At 38.3% G+C, this 14,847-nt stretch overlaps 1 long non-coding RNA gene across 1 annotated transcript in view, besides 1 other annotated feature; it reads left to right on the plus strand.

Moving 5' to 3' along the window:
* The window catches only part of STARD4-AS1 (STARD4 antisense RNA 1), a 227,501-nt gene that overhangs the window by 32,938 nt on the left and 179,716 nt on the right, over positions 1 to 14,847 (plus strand). The window lies entirely within an intron of this gene.
* Positions 5,270 to 5,349: an enhancer, noted in NCBI's record as "active region_22903". NCBI's record gives its function as "activates an Ori minimal core promoter by ATAC-STARR-seq in GM12878 lymphoblastoid cells {active_cell/tissue: GM12878}" and the evidence as "EXISTENCE:reporter gene assay evidence [ECO:0000049][PMID:35858748]".

Genomic DNA, 14,847 nt, shown 5'->3' on the forward strand with positions numbered 1-14,847 from the left:
AACAACACGGAAGCAGGAAGGTGTAACTCTTCCTACTCATTCATCTCAGGCTTGCCCATGACCCTGGGCAAGTCCCATCACATCTTGGTTTCCACATAGGTTGAGCTAAGTAGCTAATGAAGCTCCATAGGACTCTCATCCTTTCACTGCTGTTTGCTTCATTTATGCAACTTAAAAAAAGATCTTTATTTTTAAAATTGAATTTAATTTGTTTTAATGATCATACAGTAAAGTCACTTTTTTTCTTTTGAAGTAGAATTCTATGAGATTTAACATACATATAGATTCATGTAACCACCACCACCATTGGGATACCGAACTTTTCCGTCTTCCAAGAAACTCCCTCAAGCTATCCCTTCAGAGTAACATCCCCTACTTATAGCCCCTGGCAACCACGGATCTGGTTTCTATTCTTGTAGTCTTGTCTTTTGAAAATGTCAAATAAATGAAACATATGTAACCCTTTGAGACTGGCTTTTCTGACCCAGCAGAATGCTTTTAAAAGTTATCTAAGTTGTTTAGTATAGTGTGTTCCTTTTTACTACTTAGTAGTATTCCATTGTGTGAACGAACCATAGTTCGTTTATCCATTTGCTCATTGAAGGACACTGAGTAATTTCAGGTTTTTGGCGGCCACAGATAATGCTACTATGAACACATGTGTACAGGCTTACACGTGTGTGTGTAATATTAGTTCTCCCCATTGTAGGATAAATGCCCCGGAGTGGGGTTGCTATCAGTGGCAAGGGTGTGTTTAGCTTTATAGAAAACTATGAAACTGTTTTCCAGTGGCTTTACCAGTTTTCCTTTCTACCAGGAATGTGTGAGAGTTCTAATTCCTTACCAGCATTGGTATTGTTGGCATTTTTAATTTTAGCAATTTCAAAAGGTGTGTAGTAATGTTTAATTGTATTTGAATTTATCTAATGGCCAATGATGTTGAACATCTTTTCATGTATTTATTTGCCATCCTTAAAACCTCTTTGGTAAAATGCCTGTTCAAGTCCTTTGCCCCTTTTTTAATTGGATTGTATGTTTTCTTATCAATGAGTCTTGATAGTTCTTCATATATTTTGGGCACGTAGCCTTTGTCAGATAGATGATTTGCGAATATATTCTTCAAGTCTGTAGCTTATTTCTTCATTCTCTTGGCAGCATATTAAGCAGAGAAAAGATTTTTGATGTAATGAGGTCCAATTTGTCAATTTTTTGTCTTTACAGATGCACCTTGGTGTCAGTCCTAAGAACTCTTCACCTAACCTTATGTTATAATATTTTTCTCTAAGAAAATAATTTTAAAGAAAGAAAATGCTGTATACATAAGGACATTTCTTGCAATACTATTAGTGAATGGTGAAAACTGAAATAATCTTGAGTTGCCACCATAGAGCAATGGGTACGTAAATTATGACTCTATCATCCTTTGGCTATGGAAAATATTTATTAAGAGTGTACAATAATGTTACAGGGAAACAATCATGACTTAAGTTAAAGTAAGATGCAATTATATGTACTATATGCCCATAATAACAGGAAAACAAAAACAAATACTGCTTAGAAAAGAGATGAGAAGGAAATACGATAAATACGTTAACAAAGGTAGGCTAGAGTGATGATGCTGGGTAGCTTTTTCAATGTTTTCTACTTTTCTATATTTCCTTAATTTTCTTTAAATATATTTATGAAATAAACCAAAACACACAATTTTATTTTTAAAAAATTCACTCACGGCCGGGCACAGTGGCTCACGCCTGTAATCCCAGCACTTTGGGAGGCCGAGGCGGGCGGTTCACGAGGTCAGAAGATCAAGACCATCCTGGCTAACATGGTGAAACCCCATCTCTACTAACAATACAAAAAAAAAATTAGCCAGACGTAGTGGTGGGTGCCTGTGGTCCCAGCTACACAGGAGGCTGAGGCAGGAGAATGGTGTGAATCCAGAAGGCGGAGTTTGCAGTGAGCTGAGATGGTGCCACTGCACTCCAGCCTGGGCAACACAGACAGACTCCGTCTCAAAAAAAAAAAAAAATTTACTCGCTATTTTGTGTCAGATGTGAGAATAAGCACTGTTTTATACTGAGTCTTCCTGCTCTGTCCTGACAGGTTGGTCAATTGGCCAGAGGAATAGATATTTGAAGAAAAAGGTCTTCCTCCCCTAACTGGGGTAGAGTTAGTTGCTGTAGAGTTGCAGACGTGGTGAGGGATAAGGGTGGGAGCAGGAGCACATTTGATAATTCATGGGGACAGTGGCTGTAGCCTCCATACAGACCCTATTCCCATTTCACTGTCTTGTCTACTACCTCAAATTGCTACAAGTTAGGAATTCTCGAAAAACACTAGACTTTTGTACAGAGAAGGGATCATATTCATTTAGTCACGTGTAGGGCCCTCTGTGTGTCAGAACCTGGGTCCTGTGATACCAAGAGGACTAATGTACAGCTTTTATCCTGTAGGCCTTCACAATCCAATGATTCCATCCATCATCCAACATGGGAAAGGCTGCTCATCACTACTGCAGCTAAATAAGCACTCTCTGCTAGAGATCGGCTAAGATTTGAAAATCACCTTTTATTTAATGTTTCCCAAATAGCTACATGATTTTATTTTCTTGGTCTTCTACCCTAAGCTGTAAAACTGCTGTGCTTTTTTTCTTTTTCGAGATGGAGTCTCACTCTGTTGTCCAGGCTGGAGCGCAGTGGTGTGATCTCAGCTCACTGCAACCTCCACCTCCTGGGTTCAAGTGATTCTCCTGTCTCAGCCTCCAGAGTAGCTGGGACTACAAGCACATACCACCATGCCCGGTTAATTTTTGTAGTTTTAGTAGAGACGGGGTTTCACCATATTGGTCAGGCTGGTCTCGAACTCCTGACCTCAGGTGATCCACCCGCCTCAGCCTCCCAAAGTGCGGGGATTACAGGCGTGAGCCACCCTACCCAGCCTGCTTTTTTCTTAAATCAAGTTGCATTTCACACCAGTGCAGTGCTGGCTCCAGAGGAGGCAGGTAATCACCAGTGTTCTCCAGGAGGATAGGGGACATCCTCACCTTGGATAAGGAGCAGAATCAACAGGCTTTATTGAGTCATCGAGTTTTCTCCTTTCTACTTGGCAATCTAAGCTAACCAAAAAGCCTCCCATGCACCACACCTGACAAAATTAATTTTCTGTGGGTTAATCTTAAAATCCTTAGGACTCACTTGAATGGCTCACCTAGGAAATACAGTACCCACCTGCAGTGTCAGAAAGGAAACAAAGCACAAAGGCACAGATCACCATGGAACAGATCACTGTTCAATGCCAGCAGGCAAACAAGGCTGTCATGATCGGAGGACAAGGGCAAGTCACTGGTGATGTGCTTCCCTACCAGAAGGAGGACACTCTTCATGCGGCATGTTGCTGCCCGTACCTTGGTCACTTGACCTGGGAGCAGGGATATGCTAATAAAAAAGGAGGGGCTCATTCCATTTCTTTTCCATGCACGCTTGTTTTGAAAACATTCTGAGCCTTGCAGATTACATGATAATTATACTTAAGGGCTGCCAAGGAACTTCAGGAATAATTATCATATGATTTGCAGGTTTTCAAGCTCATGATAACACTAATGCTGAGAGGCCTTCTTTAGTCATTCACAGCAATTATCCTTCTCCAGAGTGCACTCGCTTGCAATCTTAGATTGTTTCTTGAGCCTGATAAGAAGCCAAAGAGGCTAAATGAGACGTGTTTAAAGGAGGCCCAGTGATTTGGGGGGATGTGAAGCTCCATTGGTCACAACTGGAAGGCCATCCAAATCAGAGCCTGTCACTGGAGCCACATGAAGATTGCAATTTAATAAAATCTAACACCTGCTTAGAGACCATTCTTGTAGTGGACACAAAGTGCCAGCCTCTAATACTCCTTCCTTACTCTTCATGGAAACCTTGAAGAGTGATTAAAAATAGTACTGTTTATGTCTCTGACCACAGAGCCAGTCATTTTCAGCACTTAACTGAAATTGCTCATGATAGTGTTTCTAACAATGGCCACATAAGTGGCAAATCCCTTAAGAATTTTGCCCTCTCAGCAGGTGGCAATCTGCCACCTTTATCTGATCATTTCTCTCCTCCTTTGGCATTGTAGACACCATTTTTTCCTGGTTATGACCCTACTTCTCTTTATCTTCTTTGTCGATTGCTTTTCCACTCCAGGGAGTTCTGTGTTTGACACACAGGAGGTGTGGGTAGTTGTTTACTCTGTAAATAAGTTGTTAGCCGTGCAGCACTGCCAAGGAATTGCACCAAATGTGTATGCATTAGCAGTTAAGAAGAGCGTGTGCAATGTGAGTGAATGGAGTCTGGTCATTTGTCATCCAATGCCTATTTAGCACCTGTTATGTGACAGATAACAGGCCGGCACTCGGATCATAACCCGGAGCAACATAGTCAGAAACAAACACAATTTCTCTCCTTGGTAAGCCTGGTCTGTTGGGAGGTTTTGATAAGTAAAAAGAAGACTGAGAGGCCGGGAGCGGTGGCTCACGCCTGTAATCCCAGTACTTTGGGAGGCCGAGGTGGGTGGATCACCTGAGGTCAGGAGTTCAAGACCAGCCTGGCCAACATGATAAAACCCCGTCTCTACTAAAAATACAAAACCTAGCCAGGCATGGTGGCAGGCGCCTATAATCCCAGCTACTCGGGGGCTGAGGCAGAAGAATCGCTTGAACCCGGGAGGCAGAGGTTGCAGTAAGCCGAGATAGCACCATCGCACTCCAGCCTAGGGGACAAGAGCAAGACTTCATCTCAAAAAAAACAAAAAAGAAGACTGAAAAAACATCAAAGAGATCTATCAACTTCTTGCTTGGAGGATGAGAGCAACCGTACCCAGACTTTCAGGTTGAGACTTAAAGGGTGATTAAGATTTGGAGAAAATTAAGAAGCATAAGCCAGGTATGGTGGCTCACACTTGTAATCTCAGCGCCTTGGGAGGCTGAGGCAGGAGGATTCCTTGAGGCCCAGAGTTTGAGACCAGCCTGTGCTACATAGTAAGACTTTGTCTCTACAAAAAAATTAGCTGGATATGGTGGTGTGTGCCTGCAGTTCTGGCTACTCAGGAGGCTAGGGCAGGAGGACTGCTTGAGCCCAGGAGTTGAAGGTTACAGTGACCTATGATCGTGCTACTACTGCATGGTAGCCTGGGTCTTGCACATTTAGGAAGATTTGGAAGAATGCCCAAGTAGGGTGCAAGCAGTATGCTCAGGACACTCATTTTGCCTGACAGAGAACTTTAGGTTACCTGTGCTTAGAAGCACACAGCTACAGAAGGACAAGGGCAAGTCACTGGTGATGTGCCTTCTTACCAGAAGGAGGGCACTCTTCATGCGGCATGTTGCTGCCCATACCTTGGTCACAAGAAAACAGAGAAGTAGACCAGTTCAACCACAGTGAGAAGAGAGGAGAGAGCATATCTATTTGAAGCCTGATGACTGAGGCTTTATAGGACAAGTGAATCTTCACAATTGTGCCTTGTGAAGGCAACCGGGTATAAGGTCCCTTTCCTTGCAAGATAATTAATAAGATCCCCACAAGAGGGCGCCCTGGTAGAAGAAAGTCCTGGCTCATCCATTCACATCCTGTGCGCCTGACTCACTAAGCTCCCTCGGGGTAAACCAGGACCTTCAGAGAGAGGCCCCAACACGAAAACATCCCTGATGATGAAAGTAATGGACACTGGCCCACTGAAGTTCCTGGGGAGCTGAATCACAGGTGTTCTTGTGATTTCACAAACAAAAGACTCCTCTTATAGCAGCAGTGCTCTATTTTCTCCTAAGTCATATTCTGTGGGAGCCTCCCACTATTTGTAACAGTACTCATTAAGTTCGTACTTAACAAGTAAGCAATGAGCTGCTGTCTTTGGCCTCTAGAAAGATTCAAGGTGAACCTTTTGTCTTCTTTCATTTCACACCATACACATCAACATCAGATCTGCTGCAAGACCAAGAGATTGTATATTATTTTAGGTGAAATAATACAGTCATTTAGGCATCCCTTAGAAATATGCCTAGAAACTAAAGTCCCTTAGAAATTAAAGTCACTTAGTTTCTTAGTGATACTATCTTGGAATTCCCACCCATTTCCTCAGGAAGTGCTATTAGCAGTACAGGATGCAGAATTTAGTCTAATGAGCAGACAACATTGTGGGTGTTTTAAGAGCAGGCTGTGTCTTGAAAAAACAAATGGACCTGTATTTTTCTTTGACTAAAGGCCCCTTATTGGAAAGGTGCTCCCCGCTCCCTGCAGGTGTTGTCATGGTAACATGTGATAAATAATGGATATTAACTGATAAGGCCCTTACTTCCCTAGGCTCTTTCCAACTCTCTAAGAATGTTCTCACAATTTCATATTGTAATTCTGTATTGTTTTTCTTAGAGTCCCAAATTATATATGTTTCATGCTGCTCCCACAAAACCTTAGTTCCCCAGGTGTTAATTTTATGACAGCATATCTAACTGCATCCTCTGAGCAGCAGAGCACCTGTCAGTCTCTGCTAGATTGAACATGTCTAGGACAATAGCAATTGTTTCCAATTGTACGCATTTCCACCACCTTTTCTCCCCTGGTTTTTCTTTAAGCGACTGTTGTATCAAAGCGAAGGAAGGAAGTGACTAAGAGAAGGAAATTATGCCTAAGTCATTTTAAAAGGGCATTTTTCAAACGACAAAACTTTTTCCCAAGCAGGGGTTTCAGGCTAGGCTAAGGACAGTGTGGATCGAAACACAGATCCTTAAGGAGTTGAATTTCTTCTTTGCCGTGCTCCTACTCCTCTGCATACAAATTGTTCTTTGAGCTTTCACTAGTTTTCCCATTGTCTTCTCTGCATTCCCAAGCTCACTTAATTCATGGTCTGTCTGCCTCTCTGTCTCCTTTTTTCCTTAGCCTCCAGAGATGTGCATGCCTACTTTCTGTTTTCACAGCTTCATTTCCATCTCTGGCACGTGAGAGCCTCTGTGCTGGATGCAGACATATTACCTTTGTTTTCCTGGAGTCATCCAACTGCTGCCTGTTTCCAGCAGCTCCCTTCACATTATTTGACTCTGTATCATTGCCCTCAGCCACAAGGGTTAGCAAGGCTAATGGGTACAGTGAACTTAGCCTGTCTTTTTGTATTAATACATCCCGCCAGGAAAAATCATTTACAATGGCATTTAGGCTTTGCAATGGGAAAACAGGAAAGAATCTCGTTCTTTGTGGTCTCAAGCCCATACTGGCAGAGGCTGAGTTGCTATGAAATTTCCAGCTTCAGGCAGAGAAGGGAAAAAGTAGAGGGCACACCTAAAATACAGGAATGCACACGGGTGCACGCACCCTTAAGCATGCATTACGTTTGCCCAGTAATGTATGTGCACTTGAGTGCAAGCCCCAATTCAACCTCTTTCTATGTGTTGGATATATGTATGAGAAGAAGCCTTTTTTTTTTTTCATTTGACATTCAGTTAAGCTAAAAGCAAAAACAACCATCTGTACTGCCTTTGATAGAGTAGATTGTTAAAAGCTGTTCCCTGTCAGACCTTTTCTTTCAGCCTTGGTGAGGAGACACATACACATATGACACTTCTGTCATTCACATATGAAACACTTGTATTTCAACAAAGTCACAGGTCCTCTATAAAACCATCAGGTTAAATTCTAAATTCTTCCCAATGGCTGGCTCCTATGACCTTTGATTGCCATAGCAAAATGGAAAGCATTCACTTCACTTTTTGGTCTTGTGTTTTGTATGTATGTGTTTTTGTTGGTTTGTTTGTTTTTGCCACTGAGGGCACCAAACATTCTTTCTGATTGTGCTCCACATTTTTCATTAACAGTTGCATTTAAGCAGTTCATTCTAATTCTTTCCGTTGTTCCTGTTCTGTGTGAACTATCTGCTGGCAGTTACCATGCCAACCCCAAATCCTGGGGTCCTGCTGCTAGATCACAAGCTGCCATTAGCATATTTTTAATACCACCTGATTGCCCTCCAAAGACCTTCTACTAGCTGATCTCCATTAGCTTACAGTGTCAAGAGATTTGATTGCATATTTACAGTGTGGATCAGGGAGAGAATTTGCTGAGCTGCACAGTTAGTCTCCCAGGTTTAGCTTTCCATGAGTGCCAGGTTAGTTCCTTGGGTCCCATTTAAGGAGAAGTTCATGACAATTTTCTGGTACATGGAGGTATCAGTTCTTGCTTCCTAGAGCCAACTTACTATATAATATGGAACACCAACATGACCCTCAAACTTGCCGAAGACTTCTCTTAGTTTTAATTGAAAGATCAGCAGCTCTCCAATGTTTAGGAACCTGGGCAGGGGTGCTGTTACCATCTTGCTTTTTCTAACTTAAGCTAAACTGAATAAAGGAGGCAATATTAATCAGAAGTCAGATTCTCTTCAAAAAAAGGTTAGAGAGAGAACAGTGAATTAGAAGTATTTGAATAATTAAGAGTGTTAACATGATAGATTATTTTAATGAAACAGTTAAGAGCTTTTGAAATGAAGTTGCCATTTAAAGTCCTGAAGATGCTCAGCAACCAGTGAGCTAAGTAGATGGATTTTGACACCTAAAGTTAAGATAAGAGAAAAATAAAAAATAAATAAAATGAAGACAAGAGGATGTTTTAAGATGTGATTAAATTTGAATAAAGCAAAACAAGATTAAACAGTGGTTAAAAACAATTTAGTGCAGAGGAACCTTGCAAATTCAAGTGGTTACGGGGAGAAGACAGAGAAGGAAAATGAATGAAGTGAGCTGAATGAAAGAGGATGGAAGACAATGGGCACTGATTTTCCACTGCTGTGGAAACACAAATGACATAAGCATTACATCAGTCCAGAGAGTGCTGACCCCATCTAAAGGGAGTGTTTTTTCATTTGCTATCAGGAGGGCCCAGTGCTGCCAGATCTTCTCATAGCTGAAGAAAGTTTGAAATCTCACTGTACAGTTCAATGGTGTTAAATGCATTCATTGTGTTGAGCAACCACCACCATGATCTATCTCCATAAGTCTTTTGATCATGTAAAACTGAAACTCTGTGTTTATTTAGCAATAACTCTCCATACTCCTCTCTCCCTGATATGGTTTGGCTGTGTGTACCCACTCAAATCTCATGTTGAATTGTAATCCCCAGTACTGGGGGAGGGACCTGGTGGGAGGCGATCGGATCACGAAGGTGGATTTCCTTCTTGCTGTTCTTGTGATAGTGAGTGAGTTCTTACGAGATCTGGTTGTTAAAAGTGTGTAGCACTTCCGCCTTTGCTCTTTCTCCTGCTGGTCATGTGAAGACATGCCTTGCTTGCCCTTCACTTTCTACCATGATCGTAAGTTTCCTGAGGCCTTCCCAGCCATGCCTTCTGTAACTGCAGAACTGCGAGTTAATTAAACCTCTTTTCCTTGTAAATTAACCAGTCTCAAGTAGTTCTTTATAGCAGTGTTAGAATGGATTGATACATTCCCATTCCCTAACAACCACTTTTCTACTTTGTCTCTATGATTTTGACTGTTCTAAGTTGCTCATATAAGTGGAATCATACAGTATTTGTCTTTTGCGACTGGCTTATTTCACTTAGCATAGTGTCCTCAAGTTTCATCTGTGTTGTAGCATGTGTAAGAATTTCTTTGCTTTTTAAGGCTGAATAATATTTCATTGTATGTATATACCACTGTTTGGTTATCCATTCATACCATTGATGGACACTTGGATTGCTTCCACATTTTAACTATTGTGAATAAGATTGCTAGGAACATAGGTAAAAAAATGTCTCTTCAAGATACTGCTTTCAATTCTTCCTCTTTTTTTCTTTTCTTTTCCTTTTTTTTTTTTTTTTTAAAGTTATGGGATACATGTGCAGGACGTCTAGGTTCGTTACATAGGTTTACATGTGCCATGGTGGTTTGCTGCGCCTATCAACCCGTCAACTAGGTTGTAAGCCCTGCATGCATTAGGTATTTGTCCTAATGCTCTCTCTCTCCTTGCCCTATACCCCCCAACAGGCCTCAGTGTGTGATGTTCCCCTCTCTGTGTCCATGTGTTCTCATTGTTCAACTTCCGCTTATGAGTGAGAACATGCGGTGTTTGGTTTTCTGTTCCTGTGTTAGTTTGCTGAGAATGATGGTTTCCAGCTTCATCCATGTCCCTGCAAAGGACATGAACTTATTCTTTTTAATTGCTGCAGCTGCTTTCAGTTCTTTTGAGTATATACCCAGAAGTAGAATTGCTGGATCAGATGGTAATTCTATTTTTAATTTTCGAGCCACTACACTGTTTTCTATCATGGCTGGCATATTTTACATTCCCATCAACAGGGCACAAAGCTTCCGATTTCTGTACATCTTTGCCAAACACTTCTTATTTTCTGAAGTTAGTTTGTTTTTGGTAGTCGCCACCCTAAAGGGTGTGTGGTGGTATCTCATGGTAATTTTGAATTGCATTTCCTTAATGATTGGTGATGTCGAGCATCTTTTCATGTACCCATTAGTAGTTTGTATATCCTCTTTGGAGAAATGTCTATTCAAATCCTTTGCCCATTTTTGAATGGGGTTGTTTATATTGTTGGAGCTGTAGGAGTTCTCAATATATTTGTTAATCCCATACTGGATGTATGATTTGCAGATTTTTTTCTCCATTCTGTGTGTTACCTTTTTACTCTACTGATACCTTTTGATGCACATTTTTAAAGAATTTTTATGAAGTCTAATTTTCTCTTTTGTGTTTGTGTCTCTGGTATTATTAGGTTGGTGAAAAAGTAATTGAGGTTTTTGTCATTACTTTTAATGGCAAAAACCGCAATTACTTTTGCACCAACCTAAAATATCTAAGAAATCATTGCCAAATCCAATGCCATGCCATTATCCCCCTATGTTTTCTTCTAAGTGTGTTATAGTTTAGGTCTTATATTTAGGTCTTTGACATATTTTGAGGATTCTTTTTAACTTTCTAAAAAAATTAATTTATTTTTAAGTGACAAATTATTGTGTATATTAATTAGGTAGAATGTGATGTTTTGATTTACGTATACATTGTAGAAAGATTCACTGGAGCTAACTGACATATTTATCACCTTATGAACTTATCTTTGGGGTGAGGACATTAAAATTATATTATTTTGGCAACTTTGGAATATATAACACATTATTATTAACAGGCAGTACAATTATGAATCATTAAAACTTATTCCTCCAGTCTAACTGAAACTTTGTACCCTTTGATCAACATCTCCCCGTTTTCTATTTCCTCCCCTCGCTTTCAGCCTCTGGTAACCACCTTTCTACTTTGAGTTAAATTTGTAGCTAGTGTCAGGTAAGGGTCCAGCTTTTCTCTTGCATGTGGATATCCAATTTCCCAGCTCCCTTTGTCGAAAGACTGTCCTTTCTGCATTGAATGGCCTTGGCACCCTTTCAAAAATCATTTGACCGTATATGTGAGGGTTTTTCTGGACCTTCTATTCTATTTTATTGGTCTATATGTTTTTCTTTATGCCAGTTCCGCACTGTTTTTATTACTCTATCTTTGCAGTAAGTTTTAAAATTAGGAAGGGTGAGTCATCCAGCTTTGTTCTTCTTTTTAGAGACTGTTATAGCTATTCAAGGTCCCTTGATACTCCATATGAATTTTAAGATAGATTATTCTATTTCTGCAAAAAGTATTATTGGGATTTAATAGGGATTGCACTGAAGATCACTTTGTGTGGTATAAAAATCTCAACAATATTAAGTCTTCCAATCAGTGGACATGGAATGTGTTTACATTTATTTATGTCTTCTTTAATTTCTTATAGCAACATTTTGTAATTTTATTGTTTAAGTCTTTCAGCTCTTTGGTTAATTCGTAAGTATTTTACTCTTTTTAGTCTTGTTGTAAATGAGATTGTTTTCATGGTTTCTTTTTCAGTTCATTGTTAGTGTATAAAAAATCCAATTAATTTTTGTGTGTTGATTTGTATCCTGCTCCTTTGCTGAACTCATGTATTAGCTCTAACAATTGTTTGTGGAACCCTTAGCATTATCTACATATAGTAACATGATATCCACTGTGAACAGAGATAAATTTTACTTCTTCCCTTCCCATTTGGATAATTTTTATTTTTTTTCTGGCCTAATTGCTTTTGCTGGGTTTTCCAGTGCTATATCAAACAGAAATGGTGAAACTGAACATCCTTATTTTGTTCCTGATCTTAGAGGAAAAGCTTTCAGTCTTTCACCATTGAGTATGATGTTTGCTGTGGGTTTTTCTTTACTGAATTTTATTATGTTGAGGTAGTCTTATTCTATTTTCAGTTTGTTGCATATTTCTGCCATGAAAATATGTTGAATTTCCTCGACTGCTTTTTTCTGCACCAATTGAAATGATCATTCATTTTTTATTTTATTCTGTTAATATGATGTATTATGTTGAACATTTTTTTCTATGTTGAACTATCCCTGCATTTTAGAAATAAATCCCGCTTGGTCATGGTGTATAATTCTTTAAATATACTGCTAATTGTGGTTTGCTAGTATTATGTTGAGAATTTTTGCGTTGGAGAACTTTATCCCTTTTGTTCATAAGAAATATTGATCTTCAGTTTTCTTTTCTCTTAGTGTCTTTGTCTTCATTATCAGGGTAATGCTGAATTCATAGAACAAACTAGGAAGTGTTCTCTCTTCTTCAATTTTTTGGAAAAATTAGAGAAGTAGTGGTATCTGTTATTTAAATGTTTGGTAGAATTCACCCATGAAGTCATAATATCTGGTGATTTTGTTTGTCAGGAGATTTTTGGTTACTGACTCAATCTCCTTAATAGCTATAGGTCTATTTAGATTTTCTGTTTCTTCATGACTTGGTCTTGGTAGGTTTTATGTTCCTAGAAATTTGTTCATTTCATCTAGGTTATCTAATTTGTCGGTGTAAAGTTGTTCATAGTACTTCCTTTTAAGCTTTTTTACTTTTGTAGAATCAGGAATAATGTCCCCAATGTTATTTCTGCTTTTAGTAAACTGAGTCATCTCTTTCTCTCTTAGTCAATCTAGCTTAAAGTTTGTCAATTTCATTGATCTGTTCAAATAATCAACTTTTGGTTTCATTGATTTTTTCTGTTGCTTTTCTATTCTCTTATCTCTGATTTAATTTTTAATTATTTTCTTCCTTCTGCTGGCTTTGGGTTTAGTTTATTCTTCTTTAGTTTATTACTTATTGTAAGGTTAGGTTATTGATTTAAGATCTTTCTTGTTCTTTTAATGTAAACATTTGTAGCTATAAATTTCCCCTTTAGCATGACCTTCACTGTGCACTATATTCTGTAAGTTTTGGTATGTTCTGTTTTTATTTTTAGTTTTCTCTAAGAATTTCACAATTTCCCATTTGTTTTCTTCTTTGATCATTAGCTTTTCAACACTGCATCATTTAATTTCCACAAATTTGTAACTTAAAAAAATTGTACTGGTGTTATTGATTTCTAACTTTAACCTATTGTGGTTAGAGAAGATGCTTTGTATGATACTTGCCTTTTAAAGCCTAATGAAACTTAATCTGTGGTAAAACATACAGTGTATCCTCTAAAATGTCCCATGTGCATTGGAGAAACGTGTGCTGTTTTTGTTGGGTAAAATATTCTGTATATATCTATTATTATGTTAAGTCTGCTGTTTCCTTACTCGTCTTCTATCTGGTTGTTCTAGTCATTATTTAGAGTGGCATAATAAAGTCTCCAGTTATTATTGTAGAACAGTCTGTTTCTGCCTTCAATTATGTCAGTTTTTGCTTCCTATACTTTGGTAGTTATTAGGTGCATAAATAATTTTTATTATTATATCTTCTCACTGCATTAATATTTTTGTGAATATATAATTTCCTTCTCAGTGTTTTGTAATCTTTTTTGATTGAAAGTGTATTTTGTCTGATATTAGTGTAGCCACTTCTGCTCTCTTTTTGTTACTATTTCCATAGAATATCATTTTCCATCCTTTCACTTTATTTGTATCTTTGGATCTAAAGTGAGTTTCTTATAGACAGCACTTAGTTGGATCACATGTTTTCATCCATACTGCTGTCTTTTTATTGGAAAGTTTAGTACATTTACATTTAGAGTGATTACTGATAAGAAGAGACTTCTATTATTTCACTATTTTTTATTTTATATTTTATTTTTATTATTCTATATTTCACTATTTATTATTATATTATAGTGAAGTGTTTAAATTTTTCTCATGTCTAAATTCCCATACCATGGAGATTACATTTAACATCTTAAAGTGAATATGCTTTAATTTGAATTTATACCATTTTAACTTCAGTTACGTATAAAAACTCTGCTTGTTTACAACTCTGTCCTCACCTCTTTAAGTTGCTGATGTCACAGAATTACATCTTTATACACTGTGTGCCCCAAAACATAAACTAATAGTTTTTTAAAAATGTATTAGTCTCTGAAATTGTGTAGAAAACAAAATGTGGAATTAGAAACTGAAGTTACCATAATACTCATTTTTAAACTGATTTTAATGGCTTTGTCTCTTTAATCATGGTGTAAAAAAAAGTGGAACTACAAACTGTTGTTACAATACTAGCTTTTCTAATTGCTCACATATTTACTTTCATTGAGATATTTATTTCTTCACATGACTTTGAATTACCATCCATTGTTCTTTTATTTTATCCTGCAGGACTCCCTTGATCATTTTCTTTTTTTACAGAGAAGGTCTAGTGGTAATAAATTCTCTCAGCTTTAGTTTGTCTAGGAATGTCTTAATTTTTCCCTCATTTTTGGACAACAGTTTTGCCAGAAATAGGATTCTTAGCAGAGAGATTTTTTTTTTCTTTTAGCACTTTGACTATATGACCCACTATCTTCTAGCCTCCAGAGTTT

This window comes from Homo sapiens, chromosome 5 (assembly GCF_000001405.40).
Source record: "Homo sapiens chromosome 5, GRCh38.p14 Primary Assembly".
NCBI lineage: Eukaryota > Metazoa > Chordata > Mammalia > Primates > Hominidae > Homo > Homo sapiens.